Source organism: Homo sapiens, chromosome 4, assembly GCF_000001405.40.
Source record: "Homo sapiens chromosome 4, GRCh38.p14 Primary Assembly".
Taxonomy (NCBI): domain Eukaryota; kingdom Metazoa; phylum Chordata; class Mammalia; order Primates; family Hominidae; genus Homo; species Homo sapiens.
The window spans coordinates 6,552,306-6,578,340 of NC_000004.12; the positions used below are offsets into that span (position 1 = coordinate 6,552,306).

A 26,035-nucleotide genomic window follows, 5' to 3' on the forward strand; every position below is an offset into this window, starting at 1 on the left:
CTGAAATCAGCCTCACTGGGCTAAAGTCAAGGTGTGGGCAGGGCTGGTTCCTGCTGGAGGCCCCAGGGGAGGATCCGTTTCCTTGATCTTCGAGCTTCTGGAGGTGTCCGCATTCCTTGGCTCATGACCCCTCCCTCCATCTTCAAAACCATCAGCTCAGCATCTTCAAATCTCTCTCCCTCTCTTCCTCTTTCTCTCCTCTTTCTTTCTCCCTCTCTTCTCTTCTCCCTCTCTTCCTCTTTCTCTCCTCTGCTTGTGTCATCCCATCTCCTTCTCTGATTCTGACCCTCCTACCTCCCTCTTATAAGGACCCCTGTGATGACATTGGGCCTACCCAGATAATCCAGGTCAACCTCCCCAACTCAAGAGCCTTAACTTAATCTCATCTGCAAACTTCCTTTTGCCATGTAAGGTAACAAATTCACAGGTCTGGGGATTAGAATGTGGACATCTTTGGGGGGCATTATTCTTTCCACTACACTCACAAACATCCTGCAAAAGTGGACTTTATTGTCCTAATTTGACAATAAGGCTCAGGAAGGTGGGGCCATTGCCTGATGTCATGTGAGTAGCAGAGGCAAGAGCCAGTTTCAGGATGAATGGCCACACACATGCCCCAGTTCCAATGGCCTCCATAGATGTTGGGGTCTCACTGGAGGCAGAATTCACCCCAGATAGTTCAACAGAAGAGAAGTAAACAAAGAGGTGACCTACAGGAAGTGACCAAGGAAGCATTTGGGGCACATAGGGACTAAGGGCAAGGACAGGAGGCTGTTACTCCCTGGGCTGAAAGGTGCAGGGGAAGAGAACTGGGACCATGAGACAGGATCCACTGGCACAAGCTGTGACCATGGAGAGCACAGCCGACCCTAGGATTGCAGCGCCACCGCAGGGAGAAGAACGGGGAGTGTTCCCCCTCTCCCTCCTGCCCTGCAAGCTCTGACTGGTGCCTCCCACTGGCCAAACTCCACGGGAGCCTTAGGGCAGGGACCACAGGTGATGCAGCCTCCAGGGCACCACACTGGACAGAGAGGTGAAAAATAGATCTACGGGTCAAGTGGAGAAATCCAGCGCAGTCCACTGTGGCCACTCAGCAAACATCCTCGTCCCCCTATCCGGGAAGAAACTCTCAGCCCAACACAGTAAGGCACGGGGTCCCACCAGCAACGGTATCATTGAGGGAGACGCCACTTCAGATGCCTGCCTTGAGCCTACAGCACCACACTGTCCACCACAGGTAGCCTTCATTCAAGGTGGCCAGGAGAGATGAGGGCAGGGGAAAAAGGGCCAATCAGCAGCGAGTCCTTCTTCCTCCACCCACCGATAGGCACCTTGCCTGTGCCAGAGCACCTGGTTCTTCACCTGGGGGAACGACCCAAGTTTTCACCCATGATCTGGGTCTGTCATGCTCCCATCTCTATGTTCAGGGCTGCCATGCTCAGTAGACCTTTTTTATCAGATGTCAGTGCTAAGAAGCATCCCCGTGGATCCTCTGGGCCCCAGATACCACCAAGAAGTGACCTCATTTATCCTTGGTAGCTAGGAGCAGTCACCCCTCATCCCAGTGCCCCCTTCTCTACCAGGCCACCCAGCAGCAGCAGGAGTCCAAATGGCCTCGGTCCCAGTGTCCACTTTCACAGACTGTGGCCCTGCTCCCTGATGGAAGCCTTCCTTCTTGGGGCACCAGGACCCCCAAACACACCACGCCTAATGAACTAGAAGCAAAATTAGTTCAAGGGGTTATCAGGGGGTGACTGCTATGGGTTGAACTGTGTGCTCTCCCCACAAAAAATTCACATTGAAGTCCAAACCCACAATACCTCAGCATGTGACCTTATTTGGAAATAGGGTCACTGCAGATGTCATTAGTTAAAATGAGGCCATGCTGGAGTAGGGTTTACCCCCAATCCAAAATGACGGGTGCCCTCATCAAAGAGGAAATTTGGACACAGAGACAGACAGGCACAGGGAGAAAGGCAGACACCACGGTGACACCATCTACAAGCCAAAGAATGCCAAAGATGGACAGCAAATCACAATAAGCTGGGAGAGGGGTACAGGACAGATTCCCCCTCTAATTCCTCCATAGAAACTGACCCAGCTATCGTCTTCGTCCCAGACTGCTGGCTGCCAGAACCATGAGACAATCAATTTCCTTTCTTCAAGCCACTCTGTGTGTAGTGCTTTGTTAAGGCAGCCTCAGTCTGTAGACGGCTACAACAAGATACCTTAGACTGAGTAGTTTATGAATAACAGAAATTGATTGCTCACTGGCCGGGCACAGTGGCTCACACCTGCAATCCCAGCACTTTGGGAGGCCAAGGCAGGCAGAGTACTTGAGGTCAGGAGTTCAAGACCAGCCTGGCCAGCATGGTGAAACCCTGTCTTTACTAAAAATACAAAAATCAGCCAGGCCTGGTGGTGCACACCTGTAATCCCAGCTACTGAGGAAGCTGAGGCACGAGAATCGCTTGAACCCAGGAAGCAGAGATTGCAGTGAGCCAAGATCATGCCACTGCACTCCAGCCTGGGTGACAGAGTGAGACTCCATCTCAAAAAAAAAAAAAAGAAAAAGAAAAAGAAAGGAAGGAAGGAAGGAAGGAAGGAAGGAAGGAAGGAAGGAAGGAAAGAAAGAAAGAAAGAAAGAAAGAAAGAAAGAAAGAGAAAGAAAGAAAAGAGAAGAGAAGAGAAGAGAAAAGAAAAGAAAAAGAAATTGCTCACAATTCTGGAGGCTGAGAAGTCCAAGATCAAGATGCCAGCAGATTCGATTCAGTGTCTGACAAGGGCTCTGTGCTTCAAGGATGGCGCCTTCTCACTGCGTCCTCACATGGTAGATATCTGCCTCGGCCTCTTTTATAAGGGCTCCACCCTCTTGACCTCTTGACCTAATCACCTCCCAAAGCCCCACCCTCAATACTCTGTTGGTGGGTAGATTTCAGCACAGGACTACTGGAGAGATGGGAACATTCAGACCACCACACAGCCCCAACACACTAACACAGTGGCCACGTCTGGGGCTGCCCTGTGCAATCATTCATAACACACCCTTTCATTCTCTAAGGTACCCCACTTTGGATGATAAATTATTTGACACCCTAGTGATTATAAGCCAGTGAAGGGCTCCTCCTAACTCCATCCACTGGTCCTCAAACCTGTGTATGTGGCTGTGCAGGTGACAGTCACAAAACAGTCAGCCGCTGATCTAAGGCATACAGGACAAGGCCCCACCTGCTGTGTGTTGTCTGGAGGCCGGTGTGGCAGCCAGGCCTGCAGCCGCAGGCCCTTCTCCCTGCTTCTGGGTGATGAGAGTGAACCCCACGGGCGAGGGCCCTTTGCCGCAGCTCTGCACCACCGCAGGAATCCTTTGAATGATGTGATGCTTGTGGGCGACGGTGACTGTGAATTAGGAATTCCACAATGACACTGCTGACAGAAGCGGGTGGGAAGGCGATTCTGTATCTGGCTTATGCATCCGCCCCCCTGAGAACAAGGGAACCAACCTGCCCCCCGGGTGCTTGCTGGTCTCCTCGGGTAATGCTGCCACACCCAAAGTCACTGTTGTCCCCTGATGTTGGAGACTGGGACCTCAGCTGTGGCAGTGGCCAGCTCAGCCCTGGAGAGTTGAAGGCCATATTTTCTGCCTGTGTGTTTCCCCATCTCTGCCCTATTTTGTGTGTGAGCCCAAGAGTGAGCCCTGGGGTGGCTGGAAAGAGTCTGCCCAGCACCCACAGGCAGGCTAGCGTGTCTATCCTGTGACCGAGAGCCTCCTGCGTGAAGGATGCCTCTGGGGAGCATCCGCATGGGGCACGTGGGGGTTCATTCCATGTGTCAACTTGACGGGGCCACGGGATGCCCAGATATCATGCTAAACATCATTTCCAGGTGTGTCTGTGAGGGTGTTTCCAGTAGAGATGAGCATTTGAATCAGTAGACTAAGTAATCCCACTGTGGATGGGCCTCCCCCAGTTTGTTCAGGGCCTGAATGGAACAAAAAGGCAGGAGAAGGGAGAATTCACTCTCTCTGTCTGTCTGCTGGAGCTGGGACATCAGTCTTCTCCTGCCCTGGGATTGGCACTCACACCATCGCAACATCAGCCTTCCTGGTTCTCAAACCTTCAAACTAGAACAACTAGTTCTCCAGCTTCCGGATGGAGCTCAGGGGACTTCTCAGCTCCATAACTGCCTGAGCCAATTCCGTGTGCGTGTGTGTGCGCACACGTGCAGTGATCCTATTGGCCCTGTTTCTCTGAAGAACCCTGACTACTACAGGGCACAAATACCTCATGCTCTGCAGTCATTTGAGAGGTCCATCCACACACCTCTTCCCCAGGCCACCTTGTCATCATCCTGCAACCTTGTTCTTTCCAGAGCCCTGCCCAGCTTGCCAACCCATGCATTAGTGTAGATCCCTACTCCAGGCTGTGGTTCCTCCCCAGCAACATGAGCAACCAGATTCTCCCCCTGAAGTTTTGCCTCCTGGGAGAATCTGCAAGCATCTCTCGGGGTGCCCCTGAGTTGGTTATTATCACAGAAGGATGCAGCCACTGCACCCTCCTCCAAAGGAGGGAAGGGGGAAGGAGGCGGCAACCCTACTTCTCTCTCCACCTGCCCTCCCAGCTCCTGGCAATGCCTCCTGTGGGCAAAACCCACCCAAAGACTCCCCGGCAGAGATCCAGGTGGTAAATTTGACAGGATCAGGTTCCAGGCACAGACCAGGGCAGAGAGAAGCTGGGGCTGGAAAGGAACAAGGGGTACAAGCCTCCTTAGAAGATACCGAGGAGGATTCAAGGTACCAGCCTTCAAGGAGGTCATTTTTAACTACACTGTACTTGCTAATAGGTTCCTTTCCTGAGAAAGAGTAGAAATAGTCACTTTAAATTCACTGTATTGTGGTCCTGCAGCACTGACATTAGAATCTGGGAAGAATATTTGAACCACTCATTGGTGTTATCCAAACACACCTGATGCATTAGGACAACAACATCTACAACAACAGGAACTATGAGCCAGGCTCCGAGAACACAGATGAGTTCTTACAGATCTTATAGTCAGGAGATGCTGGGTGCAAGGTCAGCAAAAAAAAAAGAAAGAAAGAAAGAAAAGAAAAGATGATGACGTTGGACCCGGAGTACAGTGATGGAGACTCCCTGGGTGGGACGTATTTAGCTGGGAGGCAAGGAAGGTCTCTGGAGAGAGGACATGGAAGCTGCGACCTGAAGGATGAGTTAGAGTGAGTGCTGGGTTAGCACCAGGAGCAGAGGGAATAGCAGGGGCAAAGGGCCCGGGACAGGAGAGAGCCCAGGATGTACCAAGGTCGGGAAAAAGGCTGCTGTGTAGTGAGCGCTGTGGAGATGGGCACAGCAGAGGTCAGCATGGTTATTTTAGGGAGTTGAAAGGGGAGTCTGGATTGGGAGGCCCTCAAGTAGTCCAGAAGAGGAGACAATGGCTTGACCTGGGGTAGTAGAGATGAAGAAGGAGAGGAGGCAGATCTGAGGGTGAGCTACTGCAGAATATTCCCCACCTGGGCACTGGAGACCCAGATGACATGGGCGGGCACAACGGACGCTGGCCTGGAGTGAGGTGCATCCCACAGGCCCTGGTTCTACTCTCACCTGCTGCGTGACTCCAGGCAAACCCTCCCCAGCCCCACCCCAGACCTCTCCTCCTCCCCTGTGGACAGGAAGGCAGGAGGAAGGAGGCGGCCAGGTGCTTCTGAGCAGCCTCAGCACCCATCCTCTTAAAGGTGCCCGAGCCCAGCAGGACAGCCCCTGGCGGTGAGACTTGGGGCAGTGACTTCTCCCAACCTCACCACATGTCACAGCATCACCTGCAAAGTGGCTGTGATGATCGCATCCCAACACCGAGTGAGCGCCTGATACACCTAACAGGCTCTGCCTGTGCCAAGCATGCAGCAAGTTCTCCATAAGTGCCAGCTAAGAAGATTAACACTACTCTCAGCTGCCATCTGTGACCTGGGGTGCTGGTGGGGCTGTCACTTAAGGGGCCCCATCCCCTTGCTTGGGAGAGCCATCCATGGGGACAGGGAAATTGTACCTGCAGTGGGAAGGCCACCCATGCAAGGTCAAGGAGAAGCCTTTCTCAGGGCTTACAAAGAGCCCTCTTCTCTCCTCCTGGGACCTGCAGGTGTGTGAGCCTTTACCTGCCACCTCTGGCTGCCTCCTAACAAGGAGAAGGCCACCTGTGCTCAGCCTCCTAAAATATCAGGGCATCCCCTGAACTTCCCAATACTCAGCCTGATCAACTCTGTGCTTGGGTCAAACTAGGTTGGATTTCAGATTCTTGCCGCAGAAAGATTCTTTGGCAGCCAGGAACTACACAATGGAAGAGGCTCTGATGGACACCATCCTCTGACCAGGAGTGCCAGCAAAGAGTGCAACAGTGTCCCCACCATGAAGCCACACCCCACTCAACATGGAGCCCTGCACCGAGCCAAGCTTGGAATGAAGACCTGGGCAACCGGTCCACTCCAGACCCAGGAAAGGATTTCCACAGTGTCTCCCTGCCTGGCCTCCCATCTAAAGATGCCCCACCCAGTGAGTCTCCATCACAGCCCCCAAAGCCCAGCGTCATCTTTTTTTCTGACCTTGCACCCTCACAGGTGCCCATCCTGGGAATTCACCACCCAGCCCTGCGGCTCTGATGGGACACCAGCCTCCAGCCAGGAGTGCACAGGAAAGACAGCAACAGTGGCTCCCAGCTCTGTGGCTCTGCAATGCCAGGGGAACACTGCGCTGAGACAGGGGCTCTGATGAGCAGGCAGCCCTGACAATAGCAGTTTCCTGAGAAGGAATCACAGAACAGAACCTAAATTTAAACACTGGGAGAGCAGCTCGCAGTCCAGCCAAGGCAGGAAGAACTAGGTTCAGATCCATCTCTCACTGCTAAGCAGCCTGGAGCACATCACTGGCACCTCAGTGTGCTCCTCTGTAAAACCGGGGGCAGTGGGCACGTCCACACCCTCACAAGTTGACTTGAGGATAAGTGAGATAGAGTGTATAGTGCATAGTGCCCGTGCAGTGCCAGGCTCACAGAAGTGCCCAATAAATGGCAGTTCTGAAAAAATACACAGCACACACACACACACACACACACACACACACACACAGAACAGAGGCAAAGAGATTAAACTTCACCCAGGGCTGCAAATTTGCAACACGCAGCATCTGTGATCACTGTGCCAACTACACTCCCAACACCTTAACCCAATTCTTGCCCCATGCATAACTTCCTCCAAAATCCCCCCTGCTGTGGACTGGATGCTTGTGTCCCCCTGAATTCCTATGTTGAAATCCTAACCCCCAATGTGAGATATGAGGAGCCGGGCCCTGGGGAAACAATTAGAAGGAAATTAGTGCCCTTCTAAAATAGACTCAAGGGAGCTCATTTGCCCCTTCCACCCTGAGAGGGTACTGCAAGAAGGCACCATCCGTGAACCAGAACGCAGGTCCTCACCAGACACTGAATCCGCCACGCCTTGATCTTGGACTTCCAGCCTCCAGAACGGTGAGAAATAAACCTGTGTTGTTCATAAGCTGCCCAGGCTATATGGTGTTTTGTTACGGCAGCCCCAACGGACTAAGACAGCTCCCTTCCTGAACTGTGTTCCATGTGCTAATCAGATTTCAGGCCATTTCATCCATTCACTCCTCAAACATGTGGTGTGTGACCCCAAGGGGCAACTCAAACCCTGGGGATTCCACGTCAAAATTGACATGTCCCTTAAGGTGTTGGGGGAACCACAGGGGAAGCCCACCAAGGAAGAGGCATCCTGGGGCCCTTGAAGGCTATGCAGGCGTTAGCCAGGCAAGGCAGGGGCAGGGGTGCCCCAGGGCAGGGAGCAGCCCCATGCAAGACCCATGCAAGACCCTCCTGGAGGAGGGCAAGCAGGGGACAGTGCACAGCCCCCCAGGCCCAGCCCACCCAGGCTCTTGGCTACCAGACTAAGGGCTGGAACTTCTATGTTCTTCTGGAAGCAACTCCAAGCCAGGGGCGTTTCCATACTGGCAAATGAAAAAAATAAGATTTGCTTTTTTTCTGACAGCAGCAGTGAGCTCCAGGCCCTTGTTGAGAGGTGGTGGGGTAGAGTGACCAAGGACAAGCCTTGGGGGAGGACTGAAAGGCTCTCCGCCACTAACAGCTGTGGGACCTCAGGCAGATCACTTAATCTCTCTGTGCCTCAGTAAAACGGAGCCAACAAGAGCACCCATTTCACCAGGTTGTGGCGGAAGGAAAGCAGCTCATACCTAGGAAGCACTGGAAGCGTCCCTGGATCCTACAAAGCACCTCTCAGTGTTGGCTGCTGTTACTGGAGCTCTGTGCCTATCCACAGCCATGGGGTTGGAGCTGCACCCGCTTCACAAGTGTGTGACCCAGGCAGCCACACAGGCCTCATGCTTGGAAGGGGCTCGTGCTTGGGGTTTAAGGCTCTGCAGAGTCATAAAATTCCTGACAGCTGAATCTTTGAATGTGTGTTTCCTAAGCAATGTCTGATGGAACAGCAGAGCCTGTGCTGTGAGCATGGAGCGTGTGCTCCTGCCTCCTGCCACCTCCCCAACCTGGGTTCTCAGCTGACTGCTCCCCTGGCCTCTGGCACCCTGGACCCCACCCTTCCTCCTCTTTGTGCCTTGTCTCAGTGTCACTGCTGCCCTCCTCCCCTGGCAGGGGTCTGGGTCTAGGAGTGTATGCACCCCAGTGCATCCTGGGGTGGATCATGGCGGTGACCGCCCTTCCCTGGGCTGGCAGTGCCACTGTGTGTTCGGTGGGCAGTTCAGCAGGAACATCAGGTACCAACTGTCTCAACCCCAAGGCTGCAATGCCCTGTGGGGTACCTGTCTGCCATGGATTGGGGCATCGACCTGTGGACCTGTGGGAAGGGGAAATGCCTGACTCGACACTCAACTTCCCTGTCCCTGGCCAGAAGACAGGCGTCTTGCAAGAGTCTGCACTCACCCTGCAAGCATCCCCATGCCCAAAGGAACACGATGTTACACAGGAAATAAAACCACCATGACAGGCGGAGAGAGAGTGCAGGAGAAAGTGAGCACTTTTAACCACACTTTCCCCTACTTTTTGAACACAGGGCCCTGCATTTTCATTTTGCACTGAGCCCCACAAATTATGTAGCTGGTCCTGGGTCGGAAGGAGGTGGGGGGAGGGGGAGGGGAGGACTTGCACCTTTTACTCCAACTATTTCCATATTGTTTCATGTTTTTCCAAGATGCTGGTGATCATGCATTCATTTTGCAATTTTTTTATTCCAAAAAGAGCTTAATGGCTACACACACGGAGAGAGACACAAACACACACACAGACACACCTATACAGACATAGAGCTACACAGACACACTTGGATACACACACAGATACACAGACACACCCACAGATACATACATGGATACATACACACACTGGCGTTTAGAACCCAGGGACTGACTCCCAGCCCAAAGATCTTCCGTGACCCATTGCCAGCCGCAAGCAGGCTCTAGGGAGTCCTAAGAGAGCTGAAGAAGGTTCTACATCGAGCCTGCCTACCCCTTTTCTGAAAAGCAGAGAAAGGCCATGTGGCATTCACTCACTCACGCACTCACTAATCGACAGTCAACAATTCCACACTGAGAAGCTGCGATTTGCCAAGCACAGTCAGTGTCCTGCAGACATGACCGGATATAGTCCCTGCCCTCAAGGGGTGAGGGTATTCCCAGGGGTGAGGACACCTGGGACAGAGAAGGCATCCCAGGTGGGCGGAAACCCTCACTCCACAGCAGGGAGGTAGGAAACAGACACATTCAGGGGCCTGGAGGGAGCTGAGCATGAGCAGGCGACCAGGGCGTGGTCAGAGTGCGGGGGACAATGAGACTGAGGAGGCAGCTGCAGCAGATTGTGGGGCACTGACAGCTGACAGAGGAGCTCACCTGTGGGCAACGGGCCCCACTCCCTGCCACAGCCCGTCCCCTCCATGTTGCTGACAGTGTCCCTGTGATGTCTTCCCGTGACAGTGTGAGCACATGCCAAAGAGGACTCGCCACAGCCTCTGGAGCTCTCCCACTGGCAGCTGTGTGGCCTCGGGCAAGTTACTTAACTTCTCTGCACCTCAGTTTCCTTATCCTATAATGGGGATAATGTGGGGAGGATTCAACGGAGTCGGGGGGGGGGGTTGGATATTTGAAAGCTCTTGGAACAGTGTGTTTGTTATATAAAGTGACAGAGACCAGCACCCTACCCCGGTCCACCAGCCCTCTGTACCTTCCATCACCCACCTCACTGGGCCCCTGAAGGGAGGAGGGAAGAAAGCAAAAACAGATTCCTGGGCCCTCACCAGTACCCCCCATAGGCCTCTTCTTTTATCTCTGCCACAACCTTGCCCGCTAAGCAACGTCATCCCCATTTCACAGAAGAGAAACTGAGGCCCTGAGAGAGTAAGCCACTTGCTGAAGGCCACCCGGCCGGTCAGGGCGAAGCTAGGATTCAATCCAGGCGGGGCAGCGTCTCGGGCCACAGAGTGTGTGGTCCCTGTCCCTGGGACCCTCCGCATAAAAGCCAACCCGGGTCACTTCCCAGGGTGCGAGAGCAGCTGTCCATCCCACCAACGCTCTTCGGGCTCTGGGCGCGCCACTGTCATGGACTGTCCCTGCCAGCCAAAAAAAAAAAAAAAAGGCTTCTCCAAACCAGAGCAGCAGCCGGGCCTGACTCAGCACCCACCGGCGCGGGCAGCGGGAGGAGCGCGTAGACGCTGCTGGATGGTACCCGCGGCCGGGACTGAACTCCGCCGCATTGGGTCTTACCCCGGACTCCGAGCCGGACCCCGCGCCCGCACCTTCAGCCGGGCAGCGAGGGGGGGCTCGAGCGCGCCGGTTCTCGGCCGAGACGCTGTGGCTGACACCGGTGGAGCGATCTGCCCTGGCTCGCGCGGCGAGCAAGTGCTGGAGGCAGGGTTCCAAGCCGGTTCTGTCGGGTTCCCTCAAGACCCCGAGAGCACGCGCTCCGGAGGGACCCCGGCACTTCGGACCCTAGCAGAGCCAGCCCTGCCCCAGGACCGCCCCGGGGTCGGTGCCCGGGCTCTCTGAGTCTCGCTTCTGGCCCGCGAAGACGCGCCCTCTCCTCCAGTCGCGGGAGTCCCGCACCCGAGGGCCGCGTCCCCGGGCAGGGTGAGGTCCTGCGGGGCTGGGGGTGAGGCGGGGTGGGCGCGAGGCGGCTCCGGAGCGGCGGGGCCGGGCGCCCTGCAGCCCGCGCTTACCTTCGGAAACTTCGAGGTCGGCGGCCCCATTGAGCTGGCACAGGCACCAGGAGCCCTGGTCGGCGGCGGGCGCGGCGGGCGCGGCGGGGGCGCGGTCAGCTGGCAAAACAGCAAGGGCGCGTGAGCGCGGGCCCGGGGCGGGGGGCGGGGGGCGGGGGCGCGCGGCGAGGCTAACCCGGCTGCTGGGCCATGGGCGGCTCCGCAGGCTGCGACCGCGACGGGCGTCCTCCGGGCGGCTGCGGGGGGCCGGGCGCGGCGGCCGCTCCTCCTCCGCCTCCTCCGGGCTCGGCTCCCTGCGCGGGCGGGCGGGCGGGGAGGCGCGCCCAGAAGGCTCCGCCCGGAGCGCGGGTGCGGGGCGCGGGGTGCGGCTGCGGGCGCCGAGGGTGGGCGCGGGGCGACGATCGCGAGGCGCGGATCGCAGGGCGCGGATCGCGGGGCGCGGGGCCGGGCACCGGGTAAGAGGCGCGGGGTGCGGGCGCGGGGCGGGGTGTGGGTGCGGGCGCTGGGGCTGTCGCCACGGACCGAAGCGTCCCTTTCTGCCCCACCCACCGGTCCAGCGGCAGCCGCCTCCGCCAGCCGTCACCGCGCGAGGGCCGCCTGCCTGATGGCGATGCCCATTTTACTGAGGAGAAACTGAGGCACGGAGAGGGAAAGGGACTCAGGCGGAGTAAGCGGCCAAGGCGGGGCTCAGCTCCAGATTGCGATTCTGGTTTGAGCCCCTTTGCATCCTGCCCTTCCCCAGACCCGCCCTGCTGGGAGCTGGGGTCGCTGCCCACCCCCGCCCCCCCACCGGGTGCGAAGGGGACAGCAATCAATGCCATGAGGAGGAACGGGAGCTTCACAGCCACGCCCTCCGACCTTCCACGTGCAACAGACGAAGGAGGAAGAGCAATCAGCCACGCCGAGAGGAGGAGGCTGGACGTCCCGCGGGAAGGGCCAGGGCTAGAGAAGCCCATCCAAGGAGGGAGGAGAGAGCGTGCTCCCACGGTGATCCTAAGGCACGAGGGGCCGCTGGCCCTCTTGGGGTCCCAGCTGCCTCACCCTAACTGAGCACAGAACCCCGTGATGCCAATGTGCACAAAGTGGAAGCAGACAGCCACAGGGACACACGTTAATCCCCCCACTCCCCCCTCTCCTACCCTCCCCTCCCAGGAAGGGAGAGGAGCAGGGATGGCTAAGGATAGGCTCTCCAGGGAGCAGAAGAAGGAGAGCAGAGGGAAGGAAAGAGTGCTGCAGGCCCCAGGCCAAAGGTCAGGCCACCCCACCCCACCTTAGCCCAGTTCTAGGCCCGTGAGCTGCACCCTAGCCCCTCTACACCTCACCTAGCAGGAGGGATCTGCCTTCTAAGCCTCTGACCCCCTCCCTCTTCCTTCTTGGCCTTGAAAGTCCAATTTCGTCACCTCCACCTCCAGGAAGGCCTCCAGGGTCCTCCCAGGAGCCCCAAAAGCCCCAGAGCAGCCTCTCCCCGGGGCAGTGCCTGTCTTCCAACACGAGGTCATCCTGCAGCAGCATCAGCCCCTGTTCTCTCAGTTCCCAGCCCTCTGCCTGGCACAGCGTCAGGGCATGGCGGGGTTTCCTGATAAATACATGTCCCACGGGTAGCCTTACAGCCTGAGGTGGGGTGGACCTGGGTCAGGTCCCGGGCAGTCACTTGGCATGGCCTAGTTTCATATTTACAACAACCCTATGAATAGGCATAAATATCCCCATTTTAAAGGTTAGAACCTGGAGGCTCTGGGTCAGGCTGCCAGGAGCCATGGGATGCATCGTCCCTGCCCCAGGGTTAAGTGACTTGCTCACACTGCAGGTGAGCTGTGGAGGTGGGATGAGCCCCTCAGCTGAGCTTTCTGCACACACCAGGGCATGGCCCATTTCCTTGAGTGTGCAAGGGAGACAGGCATGCAGGTAATAATACATTCATTTATTCTTTCGACGGAAGGTAGACAGCCCCTCCTTTCTCCCAGGTGCCAAATCTGGTAGTGAACAAAACGAAGTCTCACGGAGCGTATGGTGTAGCGGGTGAGGAAGATGTTAACCAAATGCACACGTTACTATTGAATTCTATACAGCCATCAATGCTGTAGAGAGGGGAGGTTCACAGACGCTCTCTTTGGCCTTCCATGTGCAAGACACAAAGGAGGAATAGCAGTCCACTGCACAGAGTGGAGGCAGTGCTTCCAGGCAGGAGGGTCAGCACGTGCAAAGGGCTTGAGGTAGGAAGGGACTTGAAGGATCCAGTCGTGCAAGGGTGGTGGCCAAAGGAAGCCAGCTCATTCTAGGCAGAAGAGACACACAGAGGAGGAAAGGGGGGTGAGGATGGGGAGCCATGGGGCCTGTTTGCAGTTGCTGGAAGGAATGTAGTACAAGCATGTGGGAGGTACGGCCAAAAAAGCAAGTTGGGGCTAAACCCTGAATTGTTTGCAATGCAGGCTGAGGATGAGGTTTCCTGAGAGACACTGGGTAGCCATAGAAGGTTTGGAGGTAGGAGTATGCCAGGGTCCATGCTGCTGATCGGGAAGACTGTTTGGCACTGGACGTAGTCTCAAGCAGTTCGCCCATTAAAGCAAGAGGAAGTCCCCCAGAACTGTCCCACTTGCTCAGGAGGACGAAGAGTGCTGATGTCACAGGGTGCAGACTGAATGGGAGATGGCGCTGGTGGGCCCCTATCGCAAACTCTCACACCTGCAGAGGTCAGGCTGTTGCTCCTTGTGAGTCACCTGGGACAAGTCTGATGAAGAAGGGCGAGGGCACACACTACACTTCGCAAGGGTAGCGATGGCCGTTTCGAGGAGCATCAATGCCAGAGAACACTAGCATGATCTGAAAGAGTCCACGTTGCTGTATAGGCCCCTCTGGAACCTGCGTTTTTCATGACAGAGCTTTGATTCAAATGAGAAGCATTTTGCAGAACATCTCTTCAGAGTGGGGGTTGGCGGGGGGATACACATTTGGCATCAGCTTTTTTTCTGACAACAATTTGCTACTAGTAACCAAAGTAACAGAACCCAAAACCTAAAATAGCCTCTTCGGGCTGGGCACGCCAGAGCCTGTTCTTAGAAAGAAATGTTTCTAGGCTGTAGTCTGTCCCTGCAGTGAAATGCCAACCCCCGTGAAGTGAAGCTGAACTTTCATCTGAGATTGTCACAGAAGCTGCCCAGACACTTCCCCCAACCCAGGAGACTCCCCCAACTTCACTGCAATGAGGAATCCCCTCCCCCAACCCTAGCCACAAAAGGGTGTGTCCCCAAGGCCAGGATGGACACTCTCAGTGCTGGTACAGCTCAGAAAACAGTTGAGGAGGAAAAAGAAACCAACTCAGACCAGCCATTAGAAGAGACCAAGGGGAAATGAAATAAATGCTTTGTATCAACACGGGCCTGTGCACATTGCACCTAGACCACATCATCATCCCTGACTCCCCACGGCTCAAACAGCACATCAAATTCATCAGCAGTTTCCGTCAGCTCTTCCTGCAAAACACATTCAAGCCCGACCATATGTCACCACCCCCACTGCTATTCCCAGGTCCCAGCCACCATCATGTCTCACCTGGACTATTGCACGCACCTCCTACTTGGTCTCCCCACTTCTGCCCCGGCCGGGGCTGGTGTGTTCTCCACCCAGCAACACAGCAGTCAGAGGGATCCTCTTACAACATAAGTCAGATCACCTCACTCTTTGCTCAAAATCCTGCAATGGCTCCCATCTCCTTCAGAGTAAATTCCAAAGCCCCATATCTGCCCACTGCCCCCCACTCTAGAACCTTCCCTCCTGTTGTTCTTCCCCTGGTTCCCTCCATTCCAGCTACAGGGATCTCCTTGCTGGCTCCTGAGCTTACCAGGTATGGTGCTGCCTCAGGGCCTTTGCACTTGCAGTGACTGCTGCCCAGTAAGTTTGGTAAGGTTGGTCCCCAGACATCCACACCGCCCTCTTCTGCACCTCCTGCTCAGATGTCACTTTCTCAATGTGGCTTTTGCTATTTAAAACTGCACCCCTTTAAATTGTACCCAGTTTAAAACTGTACCCCCTACCCTACCCTCCTGATGGAGTTTGGATATTTGTCCCCTCCAAATCTCATGTTGAAATGTGATCCCTGTCAGGTGTCATGGTTCACGCCTGTAATTCCAGCACTTTGGGAGACCGAGGCAGGCAGATCACCTGAGGTTAGGAGTTCAAGACCAGCTTGGCCAACAGGGTGAAACTCCATCTCTACTAAAAATACAAAAATTAGCTGGGTGTAGTGGCAGGCGCCTGTGATCCCAGCTACTCAGGAGGCTGAGGCAGGAGGATTGCTTGAACTCGGGAGGTGGAGGTTGCAGTGAGCCGAGATCGCGCCACTGCACTCCAGGCTGGGAGACAAGAGCAAAAACTCTGTCTCAAAAAAAAAAAAAAAAGCAAGAACCAGCCCAGGGCTGAGTTATGAAGAGGGGTGCTGCAGACTAGGCCAGGTCCCCAACCTTGTCAGGTCTGCAATGCCAAGCTTCCAGACCTGATCACAAAGGAGTGGGACTCCAAGAAGAGCGCGATGGGATGTCTGGGTGAATGCACAGTCTCCACCTGTGGTTCCCCAGATTTACCTGGACACTCTGGGCCTGCAGAATTGCCCAAGTCCTCCCTCAGAGGATAACAGGCTCTCTCCTTGCCTAAAGATGATACCGCGGCCTTCAACGTGGAAGACCAAACATCCTGCCCTCCGAATCCACCTATAACCTGTGCCGCCCACCAGATTCATCACTGGGGTTAAGCCACAACCACACCCACCTGGGGACATGCTGGGCCAGCCAGGGAGGACAAGACTACACCCCAAAGGAGCTATGGACCCAGCCAGCACGGAGCAGTGGGGGTGGGACAGTGCTCTTGGGACCGGATCAAGGGCAGGAGGAGCTCATGAAATGGGGGACTTCTCCCATTGTTATGGACTCAATTGTATTCCCCAAAAAAATTCATAGATGGAAGCTCTAACCTCCAATGTGACTGTATTTGGAGATAGGGCCTATAAGGACGTGATTAAGGTGAAATGAGGTCATCAGGGTGAGACCCTAACCTGATAAGCCTGGTATCCTTAGAAAACAAGGAAAAGACACCAGATCTCATTCTCTCTCTCTCTCTCTCCCTCCCTCCCTCTTCCTTCCCTCCCCCTTCCTCCTGCCTTACATGCACAGAGGAAAGGCTATATGAGGACACAGGGAGAAGAGAGCCATCTACAAGCCAAGAAGCGAGCCCTCTCCAGAAACCGATCCTGCTGGTACCTTGATCTTGGACTTCCAGCCTCCAGAACCAGGAGAAAATAAATGTCTGCTGTTTAAGCCGCTCAGTCTGTGGTTTCTTCTTATGGCAGCCCGAGATGACTAACACACCAGTCATGCCGGATTTAACAGCAGGAGACAGTGCTAACGCACTGCTGAAGTGGCTCTTGAAACTTGGAGAAAGATGGCAGATGACAGAAGAAGGGATCAAAAGACAGAGAAGTGGGCATGGACCGGAGCAGGCAGAAAACCCACTGGGTGACAGCGTTCCACAAGACACCACCAAGGACGTCCCACTGACCCAGCACCGGCTTCACCAGGTAGCTCAGGGATGGGGCTGTCCACCATAGGCCAGGGTGGGTGGTGGGAGGTGCCGTTACAGAACCAGGTTTGCTGAGAGAGCTGGGAATAAGAGGATCCAGAAATAAGGGGCTAGGAGCCTGCACCAAACCACTGGAAGCAAGGTCAGTGCAATCACTTTAACAAGCACCAAGGCTGGAACACAGTGAGGTCCACGGCGAGCCATGGAGATGCTTGATAGAAAACGGCACCTGGCCGGGTGTGGTGGCTCATGCCTATAATCCTAGCACTTTGAAAGTCTGAGGCAGGTAGATCACCTGAGGTCAGGAGTTCAAGACCAACCTGGCCGACATGGTGAAACCCCATCTCTACTTAAAAAAAAAAAAAAATTAGCCAGGCCGTGGTGGCTGGCTCCTGTAATCCCAGCTACTCGGGAGGCTGAGGCAGGAGAATTGCTTGAACACAGGAGGTGGAGGTTGCAGTGAGCCATGATCATGCCATTGCACTCCAGCCTGGGCAACAAGAGTAAAACTCCAAAAAAAAGAAAGAAGAAAGAGAGAAAGAGAGGAAAGAAAGAAAGAAAGAAAGAGAGAGAGAGAGAGAGAGAGAGAAAGAAAGAAAGAAAGAAAGAAAGAAAGAAAGGAAGAGAGAGAGAGAGAAAGAAAGAAAGAAAGAGAGAGAGAAAGAAAGAAAAGAAAAGAAGGAAGGAAGGAAAGAAGGAAGGAAGGAAGAAAGAAAAAGAAAGGAGGGAGGGAGGGAGGGAAGGAAGGAAGGAAGGAGATGGAAGGAAGGAGAAGGAAGAAAGGAAGGAGAAAGATAGAAAGAAAGAAAGCGAAAGAAAGGAAGGAAGGAGATGGAGGAAGGAAGGGAGGAAGAAAAGAGAGAGAGGAAGGAAGGAGAAAGAGAGACGAAAGAAAGGGAGGGAGGGAAGGGAAGGGAAGGAAGGAAGGAATGAGATGGAAGGAAGGAAAGAGAGAAAGGAAGGAAGGAGAAAGGAGAGAAAGAAAGAAAAAGAAGGAAAGAAAGAAAGAAAGAAAGAAAGAAAGAAAGAAAGAAAGAAAGAAAAAGAAAGAAAGAAGGAAGGAAAGAAAGAAAGAAAGAGGCAAGATAGATGGATGGCTGACACAGGTGAGACTTGGCCCATCCTCTCTGGACAAATCAAGGCAGATGGGGTTAGGAAGTTGAGGGTAGCCACCCAAAGATAAATCCTGATCCCTTGCCCAGTGTCCAGACCTGAGCCAGTTTTCAAGTCCAGATCCCATCCACTGAAAGGAAAAGCGTGTTTCCAGGAAGAAGGACTCTGCAACATCGTAACAAAGGCCTATGGGAATCCCCTACTCCTTCCCCAACAGGACTGATGCTCATTGACTCAGGTAACCAGACACTAGGGAAAAATACCCAAATATTTCAAGAAATGTGGCTGAAAGCAGCAATAGACGTTTATGATCATCCCGGTGTCTGCAGGTGAAGAATCCAGGGTGGCTTCGCTGTGTGTTGTGCCTTGTGGGCCTCCCTGAGGTTGCAGTCAGGATGTCCTCTGGAATGGCTGGGCCTGGGCTGGAGGGCCTGCTTCCAAGGCACTCACACCCGGGCTGGCAAGACAGTGCCGGCTGTTGGTGGGAGGCCTCTGTTCCTCTGTAGATGGGCCTCTCCACAGATGGCTTGAGAGTCCTCATGACATGGTGGCCGGCTTGCTCCAGTATTAGAGCCCCAAGCGAGGGTGTAACATCACATCAGGCCAAGGGCTCCACTTCACAGCAAAAGAGGTGCAACCGCAGGCACACCCATGGTGTCTAGTGGTCCTATTATGTGCTGTACAACCCAGAGGCTGCTGGCTGATGGGGAAATGGAGTGGCCAGTTGAAGGCTCAGCCACAGCACCAGCTTGGAGGTGCCACCTGTGAAGCAAGGGCACCATCCTCCAGGGTGTATGTACATCCCAAGTCAATGACCAGTACACGATGTCCCCAGTGGGTAAAATACCTGGGCCTAAGAACCAAAGAATGGAAGCAGGAATAGCCTAATTTAGCATCACTCTCAGTGACCTACTTGGAGAATATGTGCTTCCTGTCCACACAACTACAGATTCTGTAGGTTCAGAGGTTCTGGTTTCCAAAGGGGAATGCTTCCACCAAGCGACACCAGTCACGCCAGGCTACTCATGTCAAGACACCAGTAGGCAGGGGAAGAGTCACCCATCGAGCAGGGGCAGTTGACCTGAACCATCAGAGGAGGTAGGGTTGCTGTCACACAATGGAAGCAGAGAAGACTGTGTGCCACCCACATGGGTGTCCCTCAGGACTCTTTCACCTGATGTAGTCAGCAAATAGGCAAGTGAGCAGCTATGGCTCAAGAAGGGAATGGTCACCAGGGGCTCATCCTCGTTGGTGAGGATCTGGGGCAACCCACCAGGTAAGCTATCTAGTCCAGCATGGGTCTAGCTGAGGGTGAAAGGGATCTGAATGAATAATCCAGGAGGGGGTTGTGAGTATCACCTTCAAGCCTGAGACTAGCTGCAGCAAGAGCTCACGCAAGAGCCTTGAGGAAAGTACAAATGAAACCCTACACAGCTGTGATACAGTGGGCAGGAGAGAAAATGACATGAGGTCTCACATGTTGTTGTAGTCAGATGGGGGGCTGGAGCTGAAACAGCATGGTGATCTTGAGCTGCTCCCTGTGGTCTGCCCCATGTGGGCTGGTTGGGCTTCCTCACAGCATGGTGGCCTCAGGGTAGTTGGACTGCTGACAGGGCAACTCAGGCCTCCAGGCACGAGTGCTCCAGTGAACATGGATGTCATGGAAGTCACACAGTACAACTTTCACTACATTCTCTTTGTAACAAGTGTGTCACAAGCCCGCCCATGGGCCAGGCACAGTGGCTTATGCATGTAATCCCAACACTTTCGGAGAATCCCTTGAGGCTAGGAGTTTGAGACCAGCCTGGGCAACATAGAGAGATCTTGTCTACAAAAAAGAAAAGAAAAATTAGTTGGGCATGGTGGCATACACCTATAATTTCAGCACTTTGTGAGATGGTGGTGGGAGGATGCCTCGAGCCCAGGAGTTCAAGATCAGCCTGGGCAACATAACGGGATATTATATCTAAAAAAAAAAGAAAAAAAAAAGTTTTCATTAGCCAGGCATGATGGCACATACCTGTGGTCTCAGCTACTCAGGAGGCTGAAACAGGGGGATCACGTGAGCCTAGGAGTTTGAGGCTGAAGTAAGTTAGGAGTCCACCACTGCACTCTGGCCTGGGCAACAGAGCAAGACTCTATCTCTAAAAAACACAAAAATTAATAAAATAAAAAACAATAAATAAACAAGATTCAATGAGAGGAGACATAGACCCTATCTCCTAATAGGAAGAATGTCAAGATCATATTGTAAATCAAAAATAAAATTATAAGCCCCAGCTGAGAGAATGGACCCCCTGTCGGCCAAGGGGACCCCAAAGAAACCCAAAAAACTAGTTCAGGCCATGATGGGAAGTGGGAGGTCACACATGCCTCATCATAGCCTCCTCCCTTTAAGTTTCGGCACAGCTGACCAGCATTAACATTAACATAGAGATCCTCCTAAGACTGACAGAACACTTTTGTAGCAATCAGATACCCGATTCTAACATGACTCTGGTATAGCAACACACGACAGAGAGCAGGCCCTAAAGGAAATCAAAGTATTTTACCCCAAAATAAATTTTCTTTGACATATTTTGAAATGGACTTGCAAAGTCATCTCTTGTGGGGGAAACTTGCATTCTGTAGAGAATCTCCTTACTTACTAGCTCTTTTCCAGAGAGTCTGATACCTTTTAAGGTCCCCAGAGACATGCACATCTATTCTCTCTGAAGCCTGCTAACTGGAGGCTTCATCTATGTAACAAGAACCTTAGCTTCCACATCCCCATTGTCTTAACTCAAGCATTTCTTTCTGCCGACTCCAACTCTTCAGGTAAAGCTTAACTCTTTTAACCAATTGCCAATCAGGAAATCTTTGAATCCTCCTCTGACCTGGAAGCACCACCCACCCACTTCAAGATGTCCCACCTTTCTGGGCCAAACCAATGTATACTTTACATATATTGATTCATGTCTTTGCCTGTAACTTCTGTCCCCATAAAATGTATAAAGCTATAGCCCAACCACCTTGGGCACCTGTTCTCAGGACCTCCTGAGGCTGTGTCACAGGCCATGGTCACTCCTATTTGGCTTAGAATAAACGTTCTGAGATATTTTAGAGTGTGGCTTTTCTCGTCAACCAAATTCTACAAAGAGCTTGGGGGGTGGGTAATGTTGTGGAGCCCATCTTTGGCAGATACAGTCTGCCAAAGATTGTGACACTGCCTTATCGATAAACTCAGTGGCTTAACACAATTAAAGCTTATTTCTCCCTCTTGTCACAGCTCTTTGGGTTCCTCATGGTTCCATGTGGTTCTTCAGAGCCTCCATTGGTGGCTCTAACCTCCCTGAGGTCCTCGGAGTGCCCTCCACTGGAGCAGTGGGTGAGTAAGAGAGCAGGGCTCACCCACAGGAGGTTGTTAGGGGCCAGCCTGGAAGAGGAGCACAGTGCCCGCCCCCACCCATCCCATTGACTAGCACTTAGCCACGTGGCCGCACCTGGTTGCAGAGGCTGGAGAGTGGAGCCCAGCTGTGAGCCTGGCCGGTCATGGGGACATGTGTTAGTGAGTACTGTCCACGTCAGGCTCAGACCATCTGACCTGAGGCTATGGGGATGCAGGGGTCCCCAGGGGGTGGACAGGACAGAAGGAGGAGGGAGACCTGCTTGGAGAACCTGTTCTCAGTTTCCATTTGTTACATAATGGACAAGAGGACCAGCACTTTTGCTCAGAGCTGCAGCTCTGGTTCCGCTAGGAAATGCCAGGCAGGGGCACAGCCAAGTGGTTCTCAGACAGTAAACCCCAAGCCACAGACCCTTGCTTTCTTGGGCAGGGAGTAGTGGACAGGGCTGACTCCAGGCAACAGTCCCAAACAGGCTGCACCAATGTGACCGCACCTCCCCTGAGTGCAGGCAAGGGGTGCTGTGCTCACGCTCTCAGCCTGGGTGCATCCTTACTTTGTTCACAGCTCCTCTATCGGACCCATTTCACTGAGGCTCAGCGAGGTTACCTATGTCGCCCCAGGTCACCATCCAGTAACCCAGAAAGCTTCTCTTGGCTCCTCCACTAACTGCGTGATCTTGGACAAGTCAGTTACTGTCTCTGAAAGCCAGTTCTCCTCCTTAAAATGGAGACAGTTGAGCCAGGCATGCTGGTTTATGCCTGTAATCCCAGCACTTTGAGAGGCGGAGGCAGGAGGATCGCTTGAGCTCAGGAGTTTGGGACCAGCCTGGGCAACATAGTGAGGCCCCCATCTCTATAAATTTTTTTTTTAATTAGCTGGGTGTGGCAGTGTGCCCCTGTGGTCCCAGCTACTCAGGAGGCTGAGGTGGGAGGATCACTTGGGCCCGGGAGGTCAAGGCTGCAGTGAGCCCTGATCGCGCCACTGCACTCCGGCCTGGGAGACAGAGTGAGATCCTGTCCAAAAAAAAAAAAAGGAGACAGTCCCATAACAAGCCCCCCATGGCGCCGCCCAGATGGGGTTTCGACGCCAGGGAGAGGAGGGAAAGGGTTATCAGGGAAGGTTCCTGGTGGCAGAGCTCACAGGGTCCGTGCTGAGCCGAATTTTGCACGGTAGCCTCAGAGTCCCGGAGCCGAGTCCAGAGGGCGGGATGCAGGTATTGCGAAGAGGCACACGCTCCGAGAGGAACCACCAGAGCGTGGGCTTTGGGCGAGGAGGGGTCTCCTCTGGTTGGGGGAGATCTGGCAGGCTTGGGGGAGATGGGGCTGAAAGGATGGACAGGGAGGGAAGGCCAGAAAGCTGGAGACGGGGATGGAGAGCTAAACCGCAAAGAGCAGGCGCCCTGCCCCGCTGAGGGCCCCGCGCCTCCAGCTCCTCCTTCCCGAGCTTCCCGGGGTCGGCGTCCAGCCGGCAACCAATGGGCCCCGCCCCCGCCCGCAGCCAATGGGCCGCGTCCCCGCCCGCGCGGCCGCCCCGCCCCTCGCGGACCCGGAAGTGGGCCTGGCACCTTCCCGGCCTGCCGCAGGGATGGGGCAGCTGTGCTGGCTGCCGCTGCTGGCACCGCTCCTGTTGCTGCGACCGCCAGGGGTCCAGTCCGCCGGCCCCATCCGGGCCTTCGTGGTGCCCCACAGCCACATGGACGTGGGCTGGGTCTACACTGTGCAGGTAGGTGCCGACCACGCCCCGCGCGCCCCTGAGGCTGCAGCTTCCCTCTCCCCGCGGGATCTGAGTGTGGGTTTGCGTCCCGGGGCCCGATGCCGGCGCAGAAGGAGGCTCAGTGGGTTCAGGACCCCACGCTGCCATTGACTGGTTGCGTCGCTAACTTCGGGCCAGTCACTTCCTGCCTCTGAACCCCCATTTCCCCTTCTGGAGGGTGGTGCAGATTGGAGGGACCCCTGCATTCCCGGCTGGGGAGGGGCTTGGGGGTTGACAGTGGTAACCCATTTTCCAGGGAAGCCTGGAGCAGGAGAGGGTGGGGCTGGCTTCAGAGCAGGTGGATGTCAGGTGCCCGCTGGGAAGGGGCCGGGCTGGTCCCCTGCGGGGCTGAATATTGGAGGCCAGCTCAGCGTCCTCCGCCCCCCAGGACAGGGGTGAAGGTGGACCTGTGGTCACCTCCTGGTTCTGCTCAGGACCTTGGGCGAGGGGCTTTGGTCCCTAAGCCTCAGTTTCCCCATCTGTAAAGGGTAGGGGAAGCATGCCCACTACAGCCAGTTTCCAGAGGAGAAAACCGAGGCCCAGAGAGGGTTGCTGCCTTGCCCAAGGTCGCTCGGGAATAACCCTCATGCCTCCTGACTCCCTGCTCGGTGCTCCTTCCATTCATGTAAGCACTCTGTGGGCACCCTGTGTGCAGGGCCCTCGGGACTCGGATGGGAACACACTACAGCTGTGGTCCTTGGAGCTCCCAGCCTTGGGGAGGCAGACGCCTAGACGCCAGGGACAGCCTGGGGAGCTCTTCCTCTCAGCACCAGCTTTCCTCATTTCAGCCCCAGCAGGCCCCTTTGGGGTCACTGGACCACACCCCGACTGAGGCCTAAGACTTTCCTGTGCTGCCCCTCAATGGCACACTCAGGGCCCAGCCCCCCAAATTGCACACTCAAGGCCCAGCTTGCTCACCCCTCTGAGAAACTGTCCCTGACCCCTGGGCTGGGAGGGCACCTGTCTCTGCCCATGTAGGGTGTCTGTTTCCCCGTCCCTCTCCCCCAGGAGAGCACGATCCCATCCAGTGGGGAGAGCCTGGTATGGAGCGAGTGCCTAATAGCTGTGTGGGGGGTGAGCAGCAGGGAAGGAAGGGCAGAGCCCCCAACCCCATGCAGACACACCTGGCGAATGGCAGGGGCCCCAGGGACACTTGGTCTTGTTGGACCGGGGCTGGCATGATGCTGTCCCCTCCCCAGGAAAGCATGCGGGCGTACGCCGCCAATGTCTACACCTCAGTGGTGGAAGAGCTGGCCCGCGGCCAGCAGCGCCGGTTCATCGCTGTGGAGCAGGAGTTTTTCCGGCTGTGGTGGGATGGCGTCGCCTCGGACCAGCAGAAATACCAGGTAATGAGGTCACCAGGTGACACAGTTGGCCCAGTATCCTGGCAAAGACCCAGGTGGAAAACTCAATGGGGCAGTTCTAGCCAGGGCCAGGGCCAGGCTGGCATAAACCACAGGGCCAAAACCCCACCGGGCTATTCACAGCCTTGTTTAGATCAAGGTTCACGGTGAGTTCCATGCCTGGGAGAGATTGCTTTCAATTTAATCCTGAATTTCTGTCTATTCTTGAAAAAACTGCCAGCTCTGGCAACCCAGCTGTGCACTTCCGTGCCAGCTGGCACTAAGTCAGCAGTGCCCCCTGACACCAGGCATCCCAGGTGTCCCCAAGCCCTCACCCTCTTCTCTCATTTGTGTTATCTGCCTGGCCCCCGGGCCCAGGGTCTGGTGACCCTTGATGAGGGTGCGATAGTCCCTGTGGTTTGAGGGTAGGCAGCAGGTTGCTTCATACAGCATGGAGAGTCAGAGTCCCCGCTGCACAGTGAGGCAGCCTGGGTCCCATCCTGCTCCCGCACCAGGGGACACGACTAGCCCCTGCGAGCCACAGATTCCACTTCTATTAAACGGGGGTGACCGCCCCATTGCAGAAAAGTCATGCCAAGAATGAAGCCCTGGCGTGAGCACCCAGGACGATACTCGGGGGTTCTTAGTTTCCTCCCAGGTATCCACCTGCCTTCAGAATAGTTGCTGAACATAAAGTTCAGGGACGCCAAGTGACTTGCTCAAGGGAGTGAAGCGGAGAAGGGAGAGCAGGGCGTCCACCAGGCCCCGCCAGAGTCACGGGAAGGAGCCGGACATCCAATGGCCACTTGATGCTGCCAGATAGTGGGGTTCTTACCTCAAGTTAAAGAGACATTCCAGGTTCAGAGAGGGCACGCCACTGGCCTGCAGTCACACAGCTTGTAAGCGGCAGGTGGGATTCTGAGCCAGGCATGCCTGACTCGAGGCAGGCCTTTCCAGGATATCCTGTGAGCGTCCCATGCTTCTTCAGGTGGACCCCACCAAACCCAGTGGTCTGTCTCCTAGCCCTCAAAGAGAAGCATGGCCTGCATGGCCCAGTGAAGACCTGGACAGGAAACTTGTGGCAGAGCTCCCTGGAGGCAGGAATTGTTGCCTGCTTCATTCACTGCTGAACCCCCAGTGCCTGAACAGTGCTGGTTGTGTAGTAGGTGCTCACTTAACATTTGTTGAGTGAATGATCTACATATAGTGCACCTTAAGAAACAAACCAAAGGCACAGCCTATAAACAGCTGTGTGTACACATACTGAGGTGTGTAGTGTCTAGGGCAACAAAGGTGTTATGTGTGTAGAGACGGGGATGTTAAGCAAATAGGTTAAAAATGGTAGTGATGAGTGAACCTTGGGAAAGGATATGGGAGCTCTTTGTTCTATTCCTGAAACTTTTCTAAAGTTTAGAATTAGTTAATAAAATAAGATTTAAGAAAATCTTATATATACAAATATATATCTCAAATACCACCTGAGGGCTGCATGATTTCTAGGTGGTGGGAACACAGTGTGGACCAGGACAGACAGTGCCCTGCTTTTATAGAGTAAGCAAGGGTGGGGAGTTTTATGCAGGGCGTGTGTGGCGCTGTAGGTGTGTTCCCCACAGACCCAG

At 54.7% G+C, this 26,035-nt stretch overlaps 2 protein-coding genes and 1 long non-coding RNA gene across 6 annotated transcripts in view, besides 4 other annotated features; 2 read left to right on the top strand and 1 right to left on the bottom strand.

Annotated features, from left to right (window-relative positions):
• PPP2R2C (protein phosphatase 2 regulatory subunit Bgamma) overlaps positions 1-11,494 on the bottom strand; it is a 243,219-nt gene extending 231,725 nt beyond the window's left edge. For 2 of the 3 annotated variants that reach the window (XM_047415891.1, NM_001206994.2), the window contains exon 1: positions 11,255-11,494. The gene's annotated coding sequence lies outside the window, so the exon portion shown is untranslated. Of the gene's footprint in view, positions 1-3,228; positions 3,311-11,254 lie in introns of those variants that run through there. The other variant, NM_001206995.2, reaches the window with a different exon arrangement.
• Positions 16,424-22,033, top strand: LOC105374365 (uncharacterized). Its single transcript, XR_925098.3, has 3 exons — positions 16,424-16,820; positions 21,204-21,302; positions 21,886-22,033. It is a non-coding gene; the product is annotated as an uncharacterized LOC105374365 (long non-coding RNA).
• Positions 21,080-21,848: an enhancer, noted in NCBI's record as "H3K4me1 hESC enhancer chr4:6575112-6575880 (GRCh37/hg19 assembly coordinates)". NCBI's record gives its function as "activates a minimal SCP1, AML or CMV promoter by ChIP-STARR-seq in naive H9 embryonic stem cells {active_cell/tissue: H9 hESC(naive)}" and the evidence as "EXISTENCE:reporter gene assay evidence [ECO:0000049][PMID:30033119]".
• Positions 21,849-22,616: an enhancer, noted in NCBI's record as "H3K4me1 hESC enhancer chr4:6575881-6576648 (GRCh37/hg19 assembly coordinates)". NCBI's record gives its function as "activates a minimal SCP1, AML or CMV promoter by ChIP-STARR-seq in naive H9 embryonic stem cells {active_cell/tissue: H9 hESC(naive)}" and the evidence as "EXISTENCE:reporter gene assay evidence [ECO:0000049][PMID:30033119]".
• Positions 22,617-23,385: an enhancer, noted in NCBI's record as "H3K4me1 hESC enhancer chr4:6576649-6577417 (GRCh37/hg19 assembly coordinates)". NCBI's record gives its function as "activates a minimal SCP1, AML or CMV promoter by ChIP-STARR-seq in primed H9 embryonic stem cells {active_cell/tissue: H9 hESC(primed)}" and the evidence as "EXISTENCE:reporter gene assay evidence [ECO:0000049][PMID:30033119]".
• Positions 22,674-23,133: a silencer, noted in NCBI's record as "silent region_15232". NCBI's record gives its function as "represses an Ori minimal core promoter by ATAC-STARR-seq in GM12878 lymphoblastoid cells {active_cell/tissue: GM12878}" and the evidence as "EXISTENCE:reporter gene assay evidence [ECO:0000049][PMID:35858748]".
• Positions 22,884-26,035, top strand: part of MAN2B2 (mannosidase alpha class 2B member 2) — a 48,174-nt gene continuing 45,022 nt past the window's right edge. For both annotated transcript variants that reach the window (NM_015274.3, NM_001292038.2), the window contains exons 1-2: positions 22,884-23,043; positions 24,273-24,419. In NM_015274.3, the coding sequence (NP_056089.1) occupies positions 22,906-23,043; positions 24,273-24,419 (285 nt within the window). In that variant the 5' untranslated portion in view covers positions 22,884-22,905. The remainder of the gene's footprint in view (positions 23,044-24,272; positions 24,420-26,035) is intronic.